Source organism: Homo sapiens, chromosome 11 (genome assembly GCF_000001405.40).
Source record: "Homo sapiens chromosome 11, GRCh38.p14 Primary Assembly".
In the NCBI taxonomy this organism is placed as follows: domain Eukaryota; kingdom Metazoa; phylum Chordata; class Mammalia; order Primates; family Hominidae; genus Homo; species Homo sapiens.
Genome location: NC_000011.10, coordinates 34,971,865 through 34,996,900, shown reverse-complemented (window position 1 = coordinate 34,996,900; position 25,036 = coordinate 34,971,865). Strand labels below are relative to the sequence as shown.

At 35.4% G+C, this 25,036-nt stretch overlaps 1 protein-coding gene across 4 annotated transcripts in view; it reads right to left on the bottom strand.

Annotated features, from left to right (window-relative positions):
* Positions 773-25,036, bottom strand: part of PDHX (pyruvate dehydrogenase complex component X) — an 80,209-nt gene continuing 55,945 nt past the window's right edge. For 3 of the 4 annotated variants that reach the window (XM_011520390.2, NM_001135024.2, NM_003477.3), the window contains exons 8-11: positions 18,719-18,777; positions 12,173-12,331; positions 4,522-4,586; positions 773-1,987 (exon numbers count right to left, since the gene is read on the bottom strand). In XM_011520390.2, the coding sequence (XP_011518692.1) occupies positions 1,729-1,987; positions 4,522-4,586; positions 12,173-12,331; positions 18,719-18,777 (542 nt within the window). In that variant the 3' untranslated portion in view covers positions 773-1,728. The remainder of the gene's footprint in view (positions 1,988-4,521; positions 4,587-12,172; positions 12,332-18,718; positions 18,778-25,036) is intronic. The other variant, NM_001166158.2, reaches the window with a different exon arrangement.

The window sequence follows — 25,036 nt, the reverse complement described above, 5'->3', positions numbered from 1 at the left end:
GCATGATGGTGCATGCCTTTAGTCCTTAGCTACTCGGGAGGCTGAGGGAGGAGGATCACTTGAGCCTAGGAGGTCGAGGTTGCAGTGATCTGTGATCCCAGCACTGCACTACAGCCTGGGCCACAGAGCAAGACCCCATCTCAAGAAAAAGTAGTAATAATAATAATAATTTCGATTAAAACTGACCTTGGAAATAATGTAACATAAAAATTATTTTGAAAATAGCCTTTGGTTATAATTTTCAGTGTAACTGTTAATATGACAAAAGTTTTGAAGACTATTTTTTTTAAATGGCTTGTTAAACTGAGTTGGATAGTTGGATTAAGCATTTTCTTAACAATTAATACACCAGGGTGCTAATTATTTTAGAAGGCTCTTCTGTTAGGGTTTATAATTCATCATGTCATACCATACAACTTGTACTATATTAGCCTTTCTTCTATTGATTCATGTCAGCTGACACTAACATAAACCTTTTTGTGACAAGTTAATTAAATTACCATTCATTACCATCCAACTTAAATATAGTTATCTTGACAGTTATAGCAGAGCTGCCAAAAGAGAGAAACAAACTCTTCTAAACTTTATAATAATTAGTGAAAATTTCATATTAGTGAAATAAAAAGGATAGTTCTCATCTGTTTGGCTTCATAAGTCTTCTATTCTCTTTCCAAAGTTTTACATTTCCTATCAGTTACTTTCCTAATGTCATACTAATTTTAAATTCCGTCTTTTCTCCTGTAGAGCCCTTTTAAAGGTGTTCTAGAAAAACTACTAATCAACTTCAAGGTTTATTGAACTTTTGTGTTTTAACATTTAAAATACAATAGAAATGTTTATATTTTCTCACATTTTACTGCACAATACAAAACTGATTTAAATGCATTAAGAAACAACATTTTGTTTTTAAATAAACACTAACAAAATGTTTGGCAAGAGATAACACAATTTATTTAAATATATTCCGACTCAAGATGAAGGCAAGCGGTTTACCTAGAAAGGTTTACATATTTTAGCTATAGTTTTTCATTGAACCATTTTTTTGAAATGTCATTCTTTTCATTCATGCTTCTTTTATCCTCTTGCTTTAGAAGTTCACAGTGTTATATAAGTGAAAAACAAGACAGATAGAAACCACCCTAAACATATGGCTTTATGTACATAAAAAATTCAATAATGTTGCCATAACCCCTAATACAGTGTGATCCTTATTTATTTATTATCCAGAATAAACTTCTGTACCTATTAAATTCTTCAAGTATATCTAGAGCAGTGCTTGTAAAAGTGAGGTCCCACTGCTAAGTTAATGGCCATCTCTTTGAAGATCACTTCTACCTTCAACATAATTATGGTACAGTTCTAATAGTTTTTTTAATTTTACATGTATCATACATTCTCAAATATTCCAAAATGCTCAAATGAGCCAAACATATACTTTGATTTACATCTAGTTTAATATTCCCTTTATACAGCACCAGAGGTTAAAAATGGATCTGAGTAACCAAATATTCTCTTTCCTTTATTAGTTAGAGTTTATCATCATTTATTTCTATAACATTAAACCCAAATTGAAGATGAAGACACCCTGGGTCAAATGCTTTCACCTTAAATAAATAAACATTTCATCCACTTCATACTTAAATACCAAGTTGTTTTCCTATAACATATGTTTCTTGGTAACAACTACTGAATCAACTAAGCTGAACACCAACTTCTTATCTTTGAGGACTAGGCAAGTCGGATAGGATTCTCTAGGTTTGCTTTAAAACTTTTAAGAAACCTGGTTGCCAGTTCGTCATCAACCACTCGACTGTCACTTGACATTGTGACTGTTATGAGCTGGCGCTGCTGCAGTTTGGCATTTCCCTCTTCATCCTCAGTGAGCTTCAGCACAGGTCGGAACCTCCCAACCGCCAAAATGCAGGCCTGAGGAGGGTTAATCACTGCAGTAAATTCGTCGATGCCAAACATCCCCAAGTTGGAAATACTAGGGGGAAAAGAAAAAGCTCTGAAGGAGGCATGTCCTTAATCAAAGTCCCCTTTCCGTGAAGCACATATTTTATATATTTTACTAGGCAGTGTAGTAAGGCAAGAAAAAAATATATGAGTAATGAAAAAAGGAAACATTTAGTATTTACAAATAAATTAATTGTGTACACAGGAAAAATGAGACTATAGATAACTAGTAAAATTAATAAGTAAATTTAGTTAAGTCATCAGATAAAAGGTCAATATAACAATCCATTTTATATCGAGTCATGTCCCACATAACGAAGGATCACATATACAACGGTGGTCTTATAAGATTATAATGGAGCTCAGGAATTTCTGCTGCCTAGTGGCATCATAGCTGTCATAACATCATATTGCAATTACTTTATTTTAAAAATAAATTTAGTGTAGCCTAAGTGTGCAGTGTTTATAAAGTCTACAGTAGTGTATAGTGATGTCCTAAGCATTCACTCATTCACTGATTCTTCCAGAGCAACTTCTAGTCTTGCAAGCTCCATTCACGGTAAGTGCCCTAAACAGGTGTACCATGTTTTACTTTTTACATTTTTACTGTACATTTTAAAAATGCTTAGATATGTTTAGATACCCAAATACTCATCATTGTGTCACAACTGCTTACGGTATTCAGTAGAGTAACATGCTGTATAGGTTTGCAGTCTAGGAGCAACTGGCTATATCATACAGCTAAGGTGTGTAGCAGCATGTACCATTTAGGTTTGTGTAAGTACACTCTATGATGTTTGCATGATTTGCGTAAGTACACTCTATGATGTTTGCATGATGAAACTGCCTAACAATGCATTTCTCATATCCCCATCATAAAGTGGCACATGACTCTACATACAAGTTGCTATAATTAGAAAATAAAAATTTAAAACAATACCATTTATAATAGTATCAAAAAACAAATACCAAAGAATAAATCTAATGAAACATATACAAGACCTCTACACAGAAAATTATAAAACATAACTGAAAGAAATCAAATAACTGAATACACAATGGTTTCTACCATATTCACAGGTTAGAATACTCAATACTGTAAGGATGTCAATTCTCAAATCATCAAAAGACTTAATGCAATCCCAATCAAGAAACCAGCAAGGGGTGTGTGTGTGAAAAATGGCAAATCAATTTTACAATTTATTTGGAAATACGAAAAGCCAGAAGACAATCTTGAGGGTGAACAAAATTGGAAGACTTCATTACCAGCTATCAAGAGTTATAGCTTGGTGGTAGTAAACAAAGGATAGACAAACAGGCCAGTGGAAAAAAAATAGCACAGAACTAGACCAACACATATATAATCACCTTTTCAATGCTATGAAAAAGGAGAAATCAATATTCAATACATGATGCTGTGTAAATTTAGTATCCATATGGGGAAAAAAGAGCACTTGAAACTTCACATTATATACAAAATCCAATTTCAGTTGAATTGTGATCTACATGTGAAAAGTAACGTAAATGCTTTTAGAAGATAACACAGAAGAGTAACTTCATGACTCTGAGATAGGCAAAAATTCCTAACAGAAAATGAACAGTACCAACTACAAAGAAAAATACTGATAAATAGGAATTCATTAAAACTCAGAACTTCCGTTCATTTAAAAAAATCACCGAGAGAGTCCCAAAGGCAAGTCACAGAGTGTGAAAGCTATTTGAAACAATATATATCCTATAAAGGTCTGTATATCCAGAAATAAGAACTATACATCATTTTTTTAAATGGACACCAGATTGCAGTGGGTACTTTATCTCATGAATTACCAGATACCCAAACGGCTGATGAGTGAAAAGTACTCAACATCACTAATTTGCATTTTCCTACAAAGAGTACCACTACACACCCCAAGAATTGTTAAAATTTAAAACCTAACATTATTAAATAGTGGCAAGAATGTGGAGCAATGGGAATTCTCAGGACCGTTGGTGGAGGTGTAAATTTGTATAACCATTTGGAAAATTGTTTGGTAGTAGCTGCTAAAGCTTCTAACTTAGGAATTCTACTTTTAGGTCTATACAACAAAAAATGTACATACATTCACTATAAGACACTAATAAGAATGTTCATAGCACCATAATTTGTAATAGCCCCGAACTGGAAGCAACGCAAATGCCCACCAACAGTAAAATGAATTCTGGTATATTTATACAATAGAATATTATATGCTGCAATAATAAATAAGTGGTTGTTTCACATAGCAATATAATATTACAGACATTAATATTGGGGGTGGGTCAGATACTAAAGAATACATAATATTTATCATTCCATGTTAGTCAATGTCCAACGAACGTTTAGTTCAACACTAATAGGTTCCTACTAGCTTTAATATGAAAGCCTGACTAGTCTGAAGAATTTTTTCAGATATTCTATTGTCTAAATAAAGTATTTTTAGCTTAAATTTTAAAAAATATTTCAGATAAATGAAAGGCTGACAGGGACTTTATAAGTCTTACATCTATCTGTTTGATGCTATGGATAATTAAGAGTTTAAATTTTACCTAAAAGATCCTCCTTGGTATTCTTCAGGCAACAATTTTCCATCTCTTGCTTTCTTTGATAGAGCCTGAGAAAAATACAAACAGAATAGGACAACCAACAAAATGTTATACAGTTGATCTTGTCACTTGAAATATTTGTACATCATATACTCTCATCTCTGATATGCCTTGATTTGATTTTGTTACCTATATAAAAATAATTTTCTCTAATTATAAGAACAAACAAGAGCACAGATAATTCAAGAAACTAAAGCTGTTAATCAAAACTCTAGAAAAATCACTTCCTTTAACAATTTTTCAAATGTGGGAATTACCCTGTGTACCATCAATTATTATGCAAAATGCTTTAGAGTTTCCTATATGCAAAATGAAATTTTCTATTTTGCCTATAAAACTTTATGGTAAGAAAAAAAATACAAGAATCCATTCTGGTCAATCTAGTGTTTTTTAGTTTTTTTTTTTTTTTTTTTTTTGAGAAGTCTCACTCTGTTGCCCTGGCTGGAGTGCAGTGGTGTGATTATGGCCTATTGCAACCTCCATCTCCCAGGTTCAAGCAATTCTCTTGCCTCAGCGTCCTGAGTAGCTGAGATTTCAGGCACCCACCGCCACGCCCAGCTAATTTTTTATATTTTTAGTAGAGATGGGGTTTCACCATGTTGGTCAGGCTGGTCTCCAACTCCTGAACTCAAGTGATCCACCCACCTCGGCCTCCCAAAGTGGTGGGATTACAGGTATGAGCCACCATGCCTGGCCAATCTGTGTGTTTTAAATAAATTATCCAATGGCAACCAAAGTAGTATACCCACAATCCCACAACCAACATTCCGTTTTTATCTTTCAGAGTTTGCTTCATCTTTATCCACAATCTCAACCCCACACAATGGTTATAAAAAATAAATTTTATATTTAATTGTTCAATATTATATGTATCTTCTGTGTTGTCAGCCTTCAGAAATGATTTTTTAATGTTTGTTCCTAAAGACTGCACCTGCCTAATTTACTTGGTTATTTCCCAGTGTTATAATTTGGTTCACGGTTTCTTCTGAATTATTTCAGGTAAATTTTCAGAAGTGGAATTATAGTGCCCTAGAGAATAGACTTCTTTTGGTTCTTGATCCTATAGCTAAATCATTTCCTGAATGAGCTAGTCCAATTTACACTGCCACAAGGAATATAAGGATGTACTTGATTCATATCACTCTTGACCACAGCGATTTCTAAAAATCTTACAGAAGACAAGACAGATGACATATTAGTTAAATTTTCCTCTCACTTGTACTTGGAATTAACCACATTTCTGTTAATTTTTATTTTTCAGTGCTTAAAAGCAAGGGAACAGAGGTTGAGTCATCATATATAAAAAATTAATAACGAATTAACTTAAGAGGAAGGGTACAGAAAAATGAGGTCACTGTCATTTGGGTAGATAAAATAAATGTGGAATTTACTTAATATTTTGTATTACATAGGCAACATAGGCACTATTACAATCACAGTTGATAACTAACTTTAATTCATAGATGATTTAATTTTTTAAAATTGAAAGTCTTTAAAAATATCAAAAATCTAAAAACACATTACTGTAACGTACTGCCAACAGAAACAATTACAGGTGTATGCTATTTGGATGTGGTTATTTATAAAACTATTTGGATTCAAGGTAAAAAATGAGATGAATTTTGACTTATACAGTTCTTGGAATAACGGGAGAGAGAATAATCTATAAAAGCATTTTTCCTCCCTTAAGCAATGTAATTGTTCACATGATTTGAAAAGACACATATATGAACTTTAAAAGGCATTTTTTAAAGGCAGATGATCTCAACATATCCTGATGAACTACCACACAATTACCACAAATGAAAAAAACTCACTTTAATAAGTAGATTGCACGCACACATACTAAAAACAAAAACTCTGTAGATCCTAAATACATCAACAGGAAATTCCTGTCAGTGAACTCTAGTAAGTCTGAAATAGGTATGGAATCTGAGAAGGATCGTTGGTTTTATAAATTTGTAATCATCACTGGGATCTCCTGGCAATGTGGACTCAAAATCAAAGTACATGTTACCTGAAGCATCCAGCTGAAAGAATAAAAAATGACCACTAAATATTTCTACAATACATCGAATGCCTTGCTATTCATTAAAAAAATTTACTGGGTACTTATAAGGTAAACTATGCCTCTGCCTTTTAATACTGTTATAAGTAATGAAGAATTAAGAATAACACAGGATCCAAGGTGTGTCACTACATTACTTTATTCAAGGAATACCAACTTGAACTTGGCTGGGGTATGCCTACAGCCCCCACAGTGGCATCCTTGGGATTACAGAGGGTCAAGAAGTAAATGCGTAGTACAGATATTCTTAACTTGGGGTTCATGGATGAATCTGCAGAGAGCCACAAACTCTTGAAAAATTAATTTCAATGAAACAAGTTTTACTGAAATTTGTTTTAAAATAAATTCACCAAGCAACTACTGTATCCCAAGCACTCTTCTAGAATTAGATAAATGGCAATGGACAGTGAACATCAGACAGTAGGGAACACAGAAGGGTGAACAAATAAATAAACAAGGTAATTTCAAAGACTAATAAACCATATGAAGACAATAAAACAGGGTAATGAGATAAAGAGTGTTAGGAAACTATTTCAGCTACAGAAGCTGCAGAAGGCCTAAGAAATTAGCAACTGAACTGAGAAACCAATGATGAAAAAAAGCCAGCCAAGTGACGATCAGAGGGAAGTGTGTACTGGATAGTATGTCTCTTAGTGAGAATCCAGAGCTCAACCTGTCCATGATCCCACAGTCTTTTCAAAAAGACTACTCCTGCCTCACCAGGTAGAGAGCCTTGGTTTCTTTGCTGCAGGTTCTCTTATCCACTGCCTACTTGCTAAGACCACAACCTCACATTCCTCGGGGAATCTTCACTGCTTCTTTGGCAGAGTACTCTCCCGTTTGACTCAGGTCTCTTCTTTCTTAACCCTTTTTTTCTCCCAGTTGCATACAGTAGTCCCCCCTTATCTGCAGGGGATACTTCAAAGACCCACAGTAGGTGCCTGAAATGGCAGATAGTACTGAACTCTATACATGCAGTCATGTGCCGCATAAGGACACTTAAGACAAAGACATAAATATATGACAGTGGTCCCATAAGATTAAAATGGAGCTGAAAAATTCCTATCACACAAATACGTACCATTGTATCACTATTTCCTTATACTATTCAGTACAGTAATAGGCTGTACTGCAGGTTTGTACCATACAAAGCCTAGGCGTGTAGCAGGCTATCCCATCTAGGTTTGTGTAAGCACACTCTATGGTGTTCACACAATGACAAAATCGCCTAACCATGCATTTCTCAGAATGTATCCCTGCTGTGATGCATGACTGTACTATTTTTTCCTACTCATACACAATTATGATAAAGTTTAATTTAAAAATTAAGCATGGTAAGAGATTAACAATAACTAATAATAAAACAGAACAATTATAACTCTAAAAATCATGTGAATGTGGTCTCTCTCAAAATAGCTTGTACAGTACTCATCTATTTTCAACTGTGGTTGACCACGGGTAACTGAAACCACACAAAGTGAAACCTTGGATAAGAGAGAACTCCAATATTTCAAATTCCAAACCAAAAGATTGGTCTTACAGACACAGAAAACCAATGATTGTACTCCTTTTCTTCTACCTGGTGAATCAACTAATTATGGTGCATTTGGTATAACTGTTGAGTCCTTAGCTATTCTTCTTGTTAATTTCTGAAAATCCAGGAGCTGCTTCTCAAGTTTCTTTTTTTTTTTTTTTTGACAGAAAACATTACTGATTCTAGAAGGCTGATAACCTGACCTCTATAGTCATACAGTAGTTATGTAACTAGTATGTGGGAAGCAGCAAAGCTGAGTGGTTGGGAGGAGGCTCTAGTCTACAGTCTGATTGGGTTCAGATGCTGGCTACATCACTTAATAAGATTTGGGGCAAATTATTTAACCTCTCTTTTTTCCCATCAGTTGCTTCATCAACCATATCAAATTATTATCTTGTACTTGATAGGGTGGTTTTAAAGAGGATTAATATATATAAAAGGCTTACAGCAAAAACTGGTACAAAGTATGCCCGCTGCTATTATTGTTAGAGTTGTTAAAACATTAAGCAGTACAAATACTTCTAGAACTTGCATGTCTTTAAACAAGAGGATTACAAATACTATATTCATATATGAATTAGTTTTTTCTCTCTGGTCGGAGCAGATTTTACCCTGGAATTAAAATCATTCTAAATTTTATCTGTTTAAATACATAAACATTCTACTTTTTAAATAAGCCATAGTACAAAGCTTGATGTAGAAATACTGACGAGACTCAAACTGTATAAAATGGCACTACTATTCCATAAATGTAACATTTACTGTCTACCCTTTTTGGGGGATGCGGTAAAATATAACCACATTAAAGCACAGGACAGAAAATGCATTTATTACCAAAGGTGACTCACTACTATACGTGGACACTCAGGCAGATGCTGTTTTTTGCACAGTAAAGCTGAATTCAATATAATCTTGCTTAACTTGGAATTGAGTCAAAATCTATATTGGACGTGAAGAACACACACACACATACACACACACACACACACACTCAGGGTTTCTACTTGGTGCATACTTATTTTTAATGCCTATTCATCCACAGCAGCTAAATGAACATATCTCTATAGAGCCTATCTAAAATATTTAGTTTTTAAGCCACCGTTTAAACAATCCAACATTTAAGTTTTTAAGATAATCATGCTTACAAGATAAACCACTTCAACAAAAAACTAATTTTGCAGGAGCTCAGATCTCTCTCTCTTACACATACACACACACACATAAACTTTCTTTCTCTTTTGCTCTCTCTCTCTCCTGTAAACTACAGAACTATTATGTTAAATAGGCCATGCAAGGTGCCTGTTTCTCATGAGAGGCCTCAGTGTGCTTCAATGTCCCCTTATTTTTTCCGAGTACAACCAAAGGTGATTATATTCATCAGGTTGTTATGCTCTGTACCATGTGACACACTGGCCTGGCATGACAGACCTGCCCAGCAAGAGTACTTCATACAAGAAAGTACTACTTGAGGACCAAACCAAACCCTCCTTTCTGGTAACTTTGCGGGAGAAAAAGACAAAGGGGAGGTAAAGAAGTGAATGATTAGACAGGAAAAAAGAAAGGTAAACAGTAAAAGCAAGGAGAGAGGTGGTATAATAGAAAGCTCATTAAGCAGTGGCTCTAGAATCAAACTGCCTGGGTTAACTAGTCCTCATTGCCACTGCTTTCTAGCTGTATTGCCTTGGGCAAATTTATCAAAGTTGCTAAAACTGAATCTCCTCAATTTCATGGAGAAGTTAAGGTTCCAATTGTACTGGGTTAATAGGATTAAATGAAGCACTTAGCCCAGTGCCTGGCATAGCGTAAGAACAAGAGTGAAGAGAGCAGGGTGGGAAAGAGAAGCAGGTAGAATGAGAAGCTAACGGGCAGCCATAGCTCAGCAAACCCTGAGTCCCTGTTGGGGGTTACAGGAAATGCCCAAGGCCCGCCAGAGACCACTACACTCCAAAGTGGTATGACTGCCCTTCCCATTGCTGTGAGGCCCAACTGAGAGGCTGGTGAGACTGCGTTCTTACCTCTTAAACTTAGAGTCTTCAGGATGCAAGGAATAGAGAAAGCTAACATAACTACTTACGACTTATGTATTATAGCAGTAAATTTGGTAAATTGCTCAGAATCAAGGAAATCTTCCTATAATGGTTAATTTTTAAAATTTAATGTATATAAAAATAAGGAAATTCTAGCTCTACAATAAAGTTCCATAACATTATAATAGTACTTTATATTTTACAGGTTGTTTCAACACTTAATCTCATTTAACCTTCACAAAAACACAGACACAAATATTCTCATTGTCGCTGAAAACCCTTGATAAACACAAGGAACATACTATATCTCAGTAAACCAATCTCTATTACTTTGACTTTTGAACTGACCAAATAAACGCTACCTTTCTTTTTTTTTTTTTTTTTTTGAGATACAGTGTCTTGCTCTGTCATCCAGGCTGCAGTGCAAATGGCACAATCTCAGCTCACTGCAACCTCTGCCTCCCAGGTTCAAGCAATTCTCATGCCTCCGTCACGCGAATAGTTCAGATAATAGGTGTGTGCCACCATGCCCAGCTAATTTTTGTATTTTTAGTAGAAATGGGGTTTCGCCATGTTGGCCAGGCTGGTCTCAAATTCCTGACCTCAAGTGATCTGCCTGCCTCAGCCTCCCAAAGTGTTGGGATTACGGGCATGAGCCACCATGTGCAGCCTCATTTTTCAATTAACAATTGCATTTTTATCGATCAAACACTTTCTGCAAATCTTTTCAAAGAGGAGGGAAGAAAGACCTAAAAATATTGATTCTAGTAGGTTCACCTTTAATTATATCTACCTCTAAAATTCCAAGTAAACTCAGTATTTATGGGTATGCTTTTAAAACCAGATTAACTTGCACTTATTTCTTTTGAGCAAGAAGGTCTACACATTTATGTACTGTCGGCTCCCCAAAGAAGTCTTACGTTCTACCTCATATCTCCCTTATAAATATACAAATTGTTCTACCACTATACATACAACAGGTCCTTGGCAAATGGAAAGATAATCACTTACCCAAATGAATCAGAAATTTTCGATGCAATCACTTTAAGACTTGTGATACTTCTGTCAAAAAATACCCTTGGAAATTACTGAGGCTGTCAAAGCTGCCCTACTGCCTGTGTTCTTGCCTATTCGATGTACTATTTTTTGGTGAAATAAGATTCCTACACATTGGAGTTACAAAAACTGCTTTTCAAGAAATCCTGAAAAAATAAAGTAACTTTGCCTCTGGAACATTACGTCCATTTCTTTTTTGAGATGGAGTCTCATTCTGTTGCCAGGCTGGAGTACGGTGGCGCAATCTCGGCTCACTGCAACCTCTGCCTCCTGGGTTCAAGTGATTCTTGTTCCTCAGCCTCCCGAGTAGCTGGAATTACAGGCACGCGCCACCACACTCAGCTAATTTTCGTATTTTTAGTAGAGATGGGGTTACACCACGTTGGCCAGGTTGGTCTCAATCTCCTGACCTCGGGATCCACCCACCTCGGCCTCCCAAAGCGCTGGCATTACAGGCGTGAGACACCGCGCCTGGCCGCTAAGTTCTTTTAATGGTCTCAATTTTAGAGAAGAAGTAAATACACTTTAAGAATAAAATGTTATTAATATTGAGGTCCATAGAAATACAGTTTCAGCTTAACTTCAACTTTAAAACCTACCTGATATAGCATCTTTATGGCTGAATTCTGGACTTTGGAAAATAAAGCTTGTCTTTAGCATGAAGTTGTTCCCTAATTTGTTTATATATTATCTCTTAATTTTTGAATATTAAATTTTCTTACAATGGGTCATACTTGGATAAAAACTTTAAAAACCTATATATATGTGACAATCACTTGATGAAATAACTCTCCCCTTCACACACACAAAAATCACAGTCTGACTAGATTACGTCACAACTTTATCAGAAAGTAATTATCCAAAAGTATATGCTAACATTTTGAAAGCACACTCTTTCTTAAGACATACCTTTACAGAGTCAGCAATTTCCTGGATACCTTTAGCAGCAGCATCTTTTATGATTGGAGTAAGTAAGCCTTTATCTGTTGCCACAGCCACTGAAATGTCAATAAATGGCAGTTGCTTTGGGCCCTCTCCATCCCAGCTTACATTAACATCTGGCATTTGCTAGAAATAGAAAAAGAAAAATGTTACTAAAAAAGCAGCTTTAGACCAAGGCGGTTACAGAAAAATAAAATCATTGTGCATTTTCCAAAGTGAACATAGCTAGATAAGAGAAAATAAATAAAAATTTCGTTTGAAAAAATGGTATGGAGTTCTGTGTCAATTATCTTTTATGTTTGCCAAGAATAATTAAACATACCACCTTTTTGAAGCAAGTTTGAAGAAATTCTGATGAGGTACATGTTTTGATCCTTTATATCATGGTGGGGAAAAAGGGCTTTCTTTCCTGATTGCAAGAAGTTATTTAATGTCTGTTGTACTTCCTACCTCATATGATAACGAACATGATCTTGAGGGGAGGAGGAGAGTGGAAACAGGTAATAATATTAGATCACATTATTCCTTACTTTCTAGCCCAGCTCTGGGATATATATCAGCAGGCCCTCAATACATGACATCCCTATTTAAAAGAGATATCTGTTCCATTGGTCTATATCTCTGTTTTGGTACCAGTACCATGCTGTTTTGGTTACTGTAGCCTTGTACTATAGTTTGAAGTCAGGTAGCGTGATGCCTCCAGCTTTGTTCTTTTGGCTTAGGATTGACTTGGCAATGCGGGTTCTTTTTTGGTTCCATATGAACTTTAAAATAGTTTTTTCCAATTCTTTGAAGAAACTCATTGGTAGCTTGATGGGGATGGCATTGAATCTATAAATTACCTTGGGCAGTATAGCCATTTTCACAATATCGATTCTTCCTACCCATGACCATGGAATGTTCTTCCATTTGTTTGTATTCTCTTTTATTTCATCGAGCAGTGGTTTGTAGTTCTCCTTGAAGAAGTCCTTCACCTCCCTTGTAAGTTGGATTCCTAGGTATTTTATTCTCTTTGAAGCAATTGTGAATGGGAGTTCACTCATGATTTGGCTCTCTGTTTGTCTGTTATTGGTGTATAAGAATGATTGTGATTTTTGCACATTGATTGTGTATTCTGAGACTTTGCTGAAGTTGCCTATCAGCTTAAGGAGATTTTGGGCTGAGACAATGGGGTTTTCTAGATATACAATCATGTCATCTGCAAACAGGGACAATTTGACTTCTTCTTTTCCTAATTGAATACCCTTTATTTCTTTCTCCTGCCTGATTGCCCTCGCCAGAACTTCCAACACTATGTTGAATAGGAGTGGTGAGAGAGAGCATCTCTGCCTTGTGCCAGTTTTCAAAGGCAATGCTTCCAGTTTTTGCCTATTCAGTATGATATCAGCTGTGGGTTTGTCAAAAATAGGTCTTATTATTTTGAGATACGTCCCATCAATACCTAATTTATTGAGAGTTTTTAGCATGAAGTGTTGTTGAATTTTGTCAAAGGCCTTTTCTGCATCTACTGAGATAACCATGTGGTTTTTGTCTTTGGTTCTGTTTACATGCGGGATTAAGTTTATTGATTTTCGTATGTTGAACCACCCTTGCATCCCAGGGATGAAGCCAACTTCGTCGTGGTGGATAAGCTTTTTGATGTGCTGCTGGATTTGGTTTGCCAGTATGTTATTGAGGATGTTTGCATCGATGTTCATCAGGGATATTGGTCTAAAATTCTCTTTTTTTGTTGTGTCTCTGCCCGGCTTTGGTATCAGGATGATGCTGGCCTCATAAAATGAGTTAGGGAGGATTCCCTCTTTTTCTATTGATTGGAATAGTTTCAGAAGGAATGGTAACAGCTCCTCCTTGTACCTCTGGTAGAATTCGGCTGTGAATCCATCTGGTCCTGGACTTTTTTTAGTTGGTAAGCTATTAATTATTGCCTCAATTTCAGAGCCTGTTATTGGTTTATTCAGAGATTCAAGTTCTTCCTGGTTTAGTCTTGGGAGGGTGTATGTGTCGAGGAATTTATCCATTTCTTCTAGATTTTCTGGTTTATTTACGTAGAGGTGTTTATAGTATTCTCTGACGGTAGTTTGCATTTCTGTGGGATCGGTGGTGATATCGCCTTTATCATTTTTTATTGCGTCTATTTGATTCTTCTCTCTTTTCTTCTTTATTAGTCTTGCTAGCAGTCTATCAATTTTGTTGATCTTTTCAAAAAAACCAGCTCCCGGATTCATGGATTTTTTGAAGGTTTTTTTGTGTCTCTATTCCCTTCAGTTCTGCTCTGATCTTAGTTATTTCTTGCCTTCTGCTAGCTTTTGAATTTGTTTGCTCTTGCTTCTCTAGTTCTTTTAGTTATAATGTTAGGGTGTCAATTTTAATAATGCGGCATATCTACAACCATCTGATCTTTGACAAACCTGACAAAAACAAGAAATGGGGAAACGATTCCCTATTTAATAAATGGTGCTGGGAAAACTGGCTAGCCATATGTAGAAAGCTGAAACTGGAACTCTTCCTTACACCTTATACAAAAATTAATTCAAGATGGATTAAAGACTTAAATGTTAGACCTAAAACCATAAAAACCCTAGAAGAAAACCTAGGCAATACCATTCAGAACACAGGCATGTGCAAGGACTTCATGTCTAAAACACCAAAAGCAATGGCAACAAAAGCCAAAATTGACAAATGGGATCTCATTAAACTAAAGAGCTTCTGCACAGCAAAAGAAACTACCATCAGAGTGAACAGGCAACCTACAGAATGGGAAAACATTTTTGCAATCTACTCATCTGACAAAGGGCTAATATCCAGAATCTACAATGAACTCAAACAAATTTACAAGAAAAAAACAAACAACCCTATCAACAAGTGGGCGAGGGATATGAACAGACACTTCTCAAAAGAAGACATTTATGCAGCCAAAAGACACATGAAAAAATGCTCATCATCACTAGTCATCAAAGAAATGCAAATCAAAACCACACTGAGATACCATCTCACACCAGTTAGAATGGCAATCATTAAAAAGTCAGGAAACAACAGGTGCTGGAGAGGATGTGGAGAAATAGGAACACTTTTACACTGCTGGTGGGACTGTAAACTAGTTCAACCATTGTGGAAGTCAGTGTGGCGATTCCTCAGGGATCTAGAACTAGAAATACCATTTGACCCAGCAATCCCTTTACTGGGTATATACCCAAAAGATTATAAATCATGCTGCTATAAAGACACATGCACACATATGTTTATTGTGGCACTATTCACAATAGCAAAGACTTGGAACCAACCCAAATGTCCAACAATGATAGACTGGATTAAGAAAATGTGGCACATATACACCATGGAATACTATGCAGCCATAAAAAATGATGAGTTCATGTCCTTTGTAGGGACATGGATGAAGCTGGAAACCATCATTCTCGGCAAACTACCTCAAGGACAAAAAACCAAACACCGCATGTTGTCACTCATAGGTGGGAATTGAACAATGGGAACACATGGACACAGGGAAAGGGAACATCACACACCCGGGCCTGTTGTGGGGTTGGGGGAGGGGGGAAGGACAGCATTTGGAGATATACCTAATGTTAAATGACTTGTTACTGGGTGCAGCACACCAACACGGCACATGTATACATATGTAACTAACCTGCACATTGTGCACATGTACCCTAAAACTTAAAGTATAATAATAATAAAAAAAAAGATTTCATCAAATGATGAAATGCCTGGAAACCCTGCCTATTAATAATCTTGCCCTGTATCACAGGTGAAAATGATGCTGAAAAACAGAAACTGAAAACAAATTTCTGTTCTCAAAAATTCTTTGTTTTCTAAAGAAAAAGATCCAGGCCTCCTGGTATGTCATTTAAGCATGGCAATATACAATTTGATTCCACTCTATCTATCCCATTTTACTTGTGACCACTCCCCTGAGATGAATTTTCCACTTGGCTCACTGTCATGCTACGCTCATTTCCATTGCAAGGCTACCTTCACATTGCTTTTCAATTGCTCTTCCATTTTTCCATCTTTCAAGGCTGAGTTCCTTCACTCATTCAACAATATCATTATGTTAAAAGAATAAAGTCCCAAACCCTCAGAAGATTTGAAATTCTTCATAGACAACACTAAAGTAAAAGAGAAACTAAACAAAACCCTCATGAATGAAGAATATATGGCAAATAAATTTAATTACAAAATGTAAAGAAGACTTATGGGACACGGTCAAAGTTGCATTAAAAATCTATTATCTTAGGGCAATCCACTCGGGTCCCCTTCCATGCTGTGGAAGCTTTGTTCTTTTGCTCTTCACAATAAATCTTGCTGCTGCTCAAAAAAAAAAAAAAGAAACTATCTTAAACCTTATTAAAAAAAATTAAAATGAATTACACATTAAAGTTCTGACCAAAATGAATCTAAGGAAATGAAGGAAAAAATACATAACAAAACAATACAAGCTAAGAATATATAAATATGCAATAGAAGTGAGATAGAGGTCAGAATAACCCCAGGCACTGAGGATGTTAAAATAATTATAAGAAACAAAATGACTCTAGGCTAGTAAGTTTGGGAATCTAAATTAAATGAGTGATTTTCTGGGAAAATATAAGCTTTTAAAATTGATTTTTTAAAAAAGCTGAAAATTAAAACAGATCAGTAATTATGGTGAAAGAAAAAAAAAAAGGGAAAGCTGCCAAGATCCCCTCCTCAAAATAGAAGCAGGTTCAGATATTTTTACTGGTGAATTCTATGAAACTAGAAAATATAAAAAAATTTATAATATTGAAATGTGTACAGAGGAAAGAAAAGAAGAAATAATCCAAATTCATTTAATGAAGCCAATGATTAGGGAAAAAAGGTCTGATAATGTTGGCACAAAATTTAAATTACCACTACTTATGACTCTGGATACAAACATTATCCAATGAAATATTAACGAATAGCTTATGCCCATTAGAGATTTATTTAAGGAGTGCAAAAATGATTCACAATTAATGATATCAATCACAATAATAGTCAATTAATTAAATCATTAATATAATTCAAAATATTTCATCAAAAGAGAAAAGTTATATGAATAATTAGATACTGCTGAAAGGGCATGCTTTTTAAGTTCTGTATTAATGTAATTTTCAGAATACAGAGTGCTAACCATTACACCATGGAACCCTCATTAATGTATTTTTCAAGAAATAAAAAGTTAATTATAAATGTACTTTAAATACAGTCTGTTAACAAGCAGTGATCCCAGAAAATAGCCTCGTTACAGAAAGGAGGCATGATGAAAAATAGTGCCAGGCAGGAAGGCAGGAAGCCTGGGTTCTAGATTTACAACTCCAGCCAGCTAGGTTTACATCACCTCCACTGAACTGCAGGCTCATATGTTCACCTGCCTTCCTGCCACCTCCACTGGAATATCTGTTAGGCTCCTCAAATGTAACATGTCTAAAACCAAACTCTAGATTCCTTAACCCAAAGCTATACCCCTCCCAGTTTTCCCAATCTTAGTACATGGAAAACTCATTCCTCCCATTGCTTGGGCCAAAATGCTTGTTTCTCTTTCTCACACCCCATATCCAATCCATCAGCAAATCCTGTTGGCTCTACTTTTGAAACATAACACAAATCTCCACTTCACCCTAGCTCCATTTGCTACCACATTTGTCCAAGCCACTGTGATCTTCTAAAGCCTCCCAGGGGAGCTCATCGTCTCCTCCCTTGCCTCTCCACAGGCTACATTCTACACAGCACCCAGGGCAGCCTCTCCTTTTCGTTTCTGAAGTATAAGTCAGATCACATTAGTTATTTGTTCAAAACCCTCCAAAGGCTTCCTTCTCACCCATAATAAAATCCCTAGTCCTCACCATGTCCAACAAGGCCTCATGTACTTGGGTTCCCCTTCATGCTCTCCCACTGTTATTTAAATCTTATCTCCCACCTCTCCATACTAGGCACATTCCACCCTCAGCACCACATCTTTGGTTAATGCGATCCTCTGCTTGCAGCCTTGGTGTTTGCTGGTCCCTCTGTGTGGAATGCACTTTTACCACATACCTATGTGGCTCACTCCCTCTGTTTTCTCAGGCCGTATCTAAATTATCGCCTTGTCAGAGGGGCTTCCCTCGCTTCCCTTTTGAAAAATCACCCCTAGTTACTTTGTCCCCTTATCCTTTCTTTTTCTCCTCAGCACTTTCACCATCTGACATATAATAGTGTTTGTCTCCTCCAACTAGAATGTAAGCCCCAGGGACAGCAGAAATCAAGTAAGCTTTTGTTTACTGCTCTATCTCTAATGCCTAGAATAAATGGTTTTCATCCTGCTCTAATTCATTGTGAGCCCTTTTGATTTACAGTTTCTTCATTTGTAAAATGAGGGAGATCAAACGATAGGATATTTTTAGCAAGACAATTATAAAATTTTTGTGATTTAAAAATAAGAGTTCTATTTGTCATTGTAAAAATTCCACGACATGAAACTACTTAAGAAGACAAAATCATTTGAAGTCTGCTACTTACTTTAAGGGTAACAGCTGCTGCCTTGATGATAAAATCATTTACTGATACTTTAATGTCATCTGAAAGAAAAATAAGGTTAGTAAAATTAGTATTCCTAATATAACTTTAACATTGACCATTACAACTTCAAACTTGTAAATTATGGAATGTACTGACAAACAATGATAAAAAATTACAAGCTTTTGTTTGCTTAGTCAATAAGGTTCCCATGATTAGAAAAACTTGCATTATATGAGGTCCTGGATCAATAATATTAACCATGAATGTAAGTTTACTTCTGGGCCTTGGTTATCAATTTTTTAAATTGCTTAGATATCATACACAAGAACCTGAAGGACCCATTACAAGCATAATCAGAAAAAAAGAACTAACTCCTATGTCTCGAAAAAGACAAATGATCTCTCTGTGGTGTGTGCAGTCAGGAAGTTTACAAGATGATTCATTTTCTTCCTCGTTCTTTTCAAATACCCTTATTCTCTGTATGCTTTATAACATACTGATTATACTAGAACAGTGATACATGTAGGTACTTTATATATAAACAGTTATATATACACATATGGGAAAGTGTTCGAAAATTTCTTTTTACTAATGGGGTGTAGGTGAAAAAAAATTTAACTGCTTTTTAACTTAACAAAACAGGATATAACAAAAGCCAAAGATGAAGCAATGCTGGCATAGGTCCTAGTGTGATTAATAAAATGAGGTTCTCCATCCATAGTTTTATGGTGAATGCATTTGAATCAATTTCTTTCCAGTATACATAATGATTTTAAGATAAAGCTGGGGTCCTCCCACTTCCTACGAGCTGATCATAACTAAAGTATTTGTTTATGTCTTTGCATTTGCCACTGGGTATAACAGTGTTAGAAAATGTAAACAACACTTGATTCTTTCTTGCAAGAGCTTATAGAAAAAGACTCTAAGATCTAGATCTAGTCAGTGGTATGTGGCAAAAAACCTATCCTATTACTAAAGTATCACGGAATTTTAGGTGAATAACAGCTCATTCCAAAGGCATCCTGGAGACTACAGAAAGGGATTAGATGAATTACCATAAACCTAAATACTGTCAAACTGTCACGATAACTGTCAGCTGCAAAGTATCAAAGCTCCTCTAATTCAGAATTCCAGAAATATATAAACATTTTTGCTTAAAACCCCTTTAGGAATAGAAATATAAATGGACTTACAGTGCTTACAAGCTTTTAATGATAACCACATAGAAAGATTTGGTTTGTACAAATTCAAATGTAACAGTTCATGAACTTACTCTGCTTACCTTTCATGGCTCTCTCAGCTTTCTCTTCACTTTATCTACTTACCCACAGGTATTCACAGTGAAGACTTCTAAAACCATCTGCCAGCTAATGACCCCCAAACCTACCACCTAAGTCCACAGTCCTCACTTAAAATTCTGTATTCAGCATACTCCCACATTTAGGAACATTCTTGAGTTGAATGAAATATATTCTTTTACTGGCTCCTATGTCACTATACTCTCCTGGTTTTCTTCCACTTTCTGCCCACTCACTCATTTTTATTCCTTTCCTCTCAATGTTGGCATCTCCCCAGGCTAGAAGTTCCAGTTCCAATTCCAAGGTTTTGATACCATTTATATAATGATGACTCTTCCAAATTCTACCTCTAATTCTGAGATACTGAGGCTTCAGACTTGTATATCCAACTTCTCACATGAAATTTCTACTTGCATCGCTTACAAGCATCTCAAATCTAACATGTGTAAAGTAGGTTTCTCTTTGAATTCCTTTATTTTTAACTCTTTATAATGGAGATTTTCCAAACATATTGAAAGGAGATGCTGTTACATTTACTGAGTAGAAAACAGTTTGTAAGGTAATATCAAACATTCTCATTTACACATTGTCAAGACAGAAAAGCAAAGTGTGAAGCATGCATACAGAATGTTATGTATTGTAACTTTATATGAGAAAGAGGAGTGAAGATAGATAATGTGGGGTGTAAAGATTTTTAAGAAAATTCCTAATTACCAAGGTGTACCAAAACTGGACCATGCAAAGATAATAAACTAATCCATATCTCCTCTGAAATATTACTGTTTTCTGCCTTATTAGAGTAAGAAAACAGGAAAGTGATTCCCATATTAACCTCTATATCATGACTAAGCAAGTATGATCTGAGAACTACAGGAGTGTTTCCAGGGTTCATTTTTTAGAAACTTCTCACTTTCTTTAAAATAGCTTTCCATTTAGTTCCTTGAACTTTTAAAAGCTCTCAAGTTGTCTTTATATGAAATCTTGAAACTCTGTATATAAACTGATAAAAGTCCTGCTTTCACCTGGGATGTAGAAAGTTGCAAAAGAAAGCTGTTCCCATCCTGACAGGGTGAAAGAAAAAGCAGGATAAATTACAAAATCGTAACTTTTCTTGAGCTCATTAGGGAGCGGAGGTTACAAAGCAAACAGGTGAACTGAATGCCAAAGAGTGATAATCCACTCAGAGGAGAGACAAACACAGGAAGTAAATACCCACTGTCAGAGTACAGGAGTAAAGAGGGCAGAGTATGGTACAACATGCATAAACAGATGGCGACTAGCAGCAGAGAAATGGAAACTAAAAAAACATTCAATTGGAAATCCAGAGGGGAAAATCCATGCTAACCAAGATAAAAAATATATATTTTGCTAAGCTTTGCAGACACAGCTAAGAAATCAGTGAACTTGAAGCTAGGTAAACAAAAATTATCCAATATGAAACATAAAGAGAAAAAAGAATGAACAAAAAAAATAGAGCATTTAAGAGCTTTGGGCAATTCAAAAAGTCTAACATTTAAAATTGGAGCCCCAAAGAGAAACCACATGGAACAGAAGATATCATTAAAAATAACTGGAAATTTTTCACAATTAAAGGAAGACAACAAACCATACATCTAAGAAGCTGAGAGAAACCCAAACAGTAAATACAATAGAAAAAAAAATCTAGGCATACAATAGCCAAATTGGTAATGCAAAAATCTTGAAAGCAACCAGACAGGTGGAAAACATCATATACAATGGAACAAATATTAAGAACGGCAGCAGACATTCTAAGACAGAAAATAAAGAAATAGTATCTTTATTTAAAGAACTGAAACAAAACCCCTATTAACTGAAAAATCTATATCCAGCAAAAATAATTCTTAAAAATGATAAAGATATATCCATTAGGGTGACTACTATCAAAAACCAGAAAATAACAAGTATTGGCAAAAATGTGGAGAAATTTCAACCTTTGTGCACTTCATTTTTGTTTTTGGAGACAGGTCTTGCTCTATGAGCCAGGCTGGAATTAAGTGGTGCAATTATAGCTCACTGTAACCTCCAACTCCTGGGCTCAAGCAATCCTCCCACCTCAGTCTCCCAAGTAGCTGGGACTACAGGCATATGCCATCTGCCCGACTAGTTTTTCAATTTTTTTGTAGAGATAGGGTCTCGTTCTGTTTCCCAGGCAGGTCTCGAACCCCTGTCCTCAGCCTCCCAAAGTGATAGGATTACAGGGATGAGCCATCATGCCTGACCCATTGGTGCGCCATTAGTGGGAATGCAAAATGGCACAGCCACTAAGGAAAACAGTATGGTAGCTCCTTAAAAAATTAAAAATAGAATTATCATATAATCCAGTAATTCCACTTCTGGGGATATACCTAAAATATTTGAAAACAGAGACACAAAGAGATATTTGTACAGCCACGTTCACAGCAGTATTATTCACAATAGCCAAAAGGTAAAAACAACCTAATGTATTTATCCATTAACACATGAATTAACAAAGTAGGGTAGATACATACAATGGAACACTGTTCAGCCTTAAAAAGGAAATTTTTATACATTCTGCAACATGCATGAACCCTGAAGACATAATGCCAAGTGGAATAAGCCAGTCACAAAAGGACAAGTACTATATGATCCCACTAATATGATGTACTTAGAATCATCAAATTTATAGGAACAGAAAGAAGAATGGTGATTGTCAGGGGTGGTGGGAAAGAGGAATGAAGAGTATACAGAGTTTCCATTTTGCAGGATGAAAAACGTTCTGCAGATGAATGGTGGCAATGGTTGCAAACAATGTAAATGTACTTAATGTCAACGAACTAACTGTACACGGAAAATGGTAAGACTCATGTTATATATTCAACTACACTTTAAAAAATTGTTTTAAAAAGGAACAATGTGAAAGACAAAATAGACTTTTTCAGACAAAAACTGAGAAAATTTATTGTCAGTCAATCTGTACTATAAGAAGCATTAAAGGAAGTTCTTTGGGTAGAAGTATAATAGCAGACAGCACTTTAATTCTATACAAAGAAATGAAAAAAAGTACAGATAAATATAAAAGACATTTTTTCCCTCATTTTAAAACTCCAAAAGAGTTTATTTGCTAAAGCAAAAAACATTAAACATGTATTCTGGGGCTTACATCATATATAGAAGTAAAACATGACAACAGCAGTACAAAATATGAGAGGGAGGAAGTGCAAGTATATAGTTATGAGGTTCTTATATTAAACATGGAGTGGGGTGTAATACAATTTGAAGCCAGGCCGTGATAAATTAAAGAATTACATTGTAAACCCTAAGAAAACCATTGCAAAGCAGGTAAGAAGAGAAAAAAGAAGATAAAATGAATAAATACAATAGAATGATAACAAAATAAGTAACCAAAAAGATAAGGAAAGAAGAATAAAAGAGGTGGGACAAAGAGAATGCAAAGAAAGAACAAAATGGTAGATTTAAATCCAACTATCCCATTAAATGTGAGCGGTCTAAACATCTTAAGAGACTAAAGAATTGGATAAAATAGCAAGAACCAACTACACGCTGCCTTCAAGAAACCTACTTAAATAAACATATTTACATTTAAAAAGTAAAAAGATGCAAAAAGATATACTATAGAAACACGAGTCAAAGAAATCTGCAGTGGCTACAGATGTGATAAAGAAGGCTTGAGGATAAGGAATATTACAAGGAATAGATAAGGACATGACATAATAACTGGTCTGTTCAAGAAAACAAAATTCCTAACTGTGTATGTGGCCAATAATAGATCTTCAGGATACATGAAGCAAAAACCGACAGAGCTGAAAGGAGAAACCACAAATAAACAATTATAATGAGGAATATCAACACTGCTCTCAAAAGACATAAACAACACTATTAACCAGCTTGGCCTGACATTTATAGAACATTCCTTTGCAAAAATAAAAAAATTCTTTTCAAGAACACATACCAAGACAGACCATACTACAAACATAAAATAAATATCAACAAATTTAAGAAAACTGAAATCATATAAAGTGTGTTCTCTAAACACAATGTAGTTAAGCTAGAAATCATAAAAGAGAAATGAATAGTTCTCAAATATTTTGAAATTAAGTGCACACTTACAAATAACTCATCGATCAAAGAAATCACAAAATAAATAAATGAGAAAACATTTTTAATTGAATAAAAGGAAAAATAATGCCAGGCGTGGTGGCTCACACTTGTAATTTCAGCACTTTGGGAGGCCTAGGTGGGTGGATCACTTGAGGCCAGGAGTTTGAGACCAGCGTGGCCAACATGCTAAAACACCGTCTCTAGTAAAAATACAAACAATTAGCCAGGCATGGTGGTTTGTGCCTGTAATCCTAGCTACTCAGGGCACTGAGGCGTGAGAATCATTTGAACCCAGGAGGCGGTGGTTGAAGTGAACCGAGATCGCACCACTGCACTCCAGCCTGGGTGACACAGCAAGACCCTGTCTCAAGAAGAAAAAAAAAAAAAATCAACATTTGTGGGATACAGCTAAAGCAGTGCTTAAAGATAATTCAAGAGTACTATATGCTTATATTAAAAAATAAAGGTCTCAAATAAATGATCCAACTTTTCACCTTAAGAAACTAGAAATAAAAGAGCAAAGTAAACTGAAAGCAAAGAGAAAAAAAAAATAAAGAACAGAAATCAATGAGATCAGTATCACAGAAATACTAGATAAGTTAATAAAACCAAATGCTGGTTCTTTGAAGAGATCGAGATCAACAGAACTGATAACCCTTTAGTCAGAGTGATCTAGAGAGTAAAACACACAAATTACTAATGTCAAAAACAGAAACATTACTTCAGATAAAATGACAGTATAATAAGGTAATGTGGTGAATAACTTTATGCCAATAAATCTGGTGACTTAGATGACACAAATTTCTTGAAAGACACAAACTACCAAAATTCATTCAAGAAAAAAAAAGCTGCACCCATTTTTAAAATAAAATTCATAGTTAAAAACCTTCCCATAAAGAAATTCACTAGTGAATTCTAC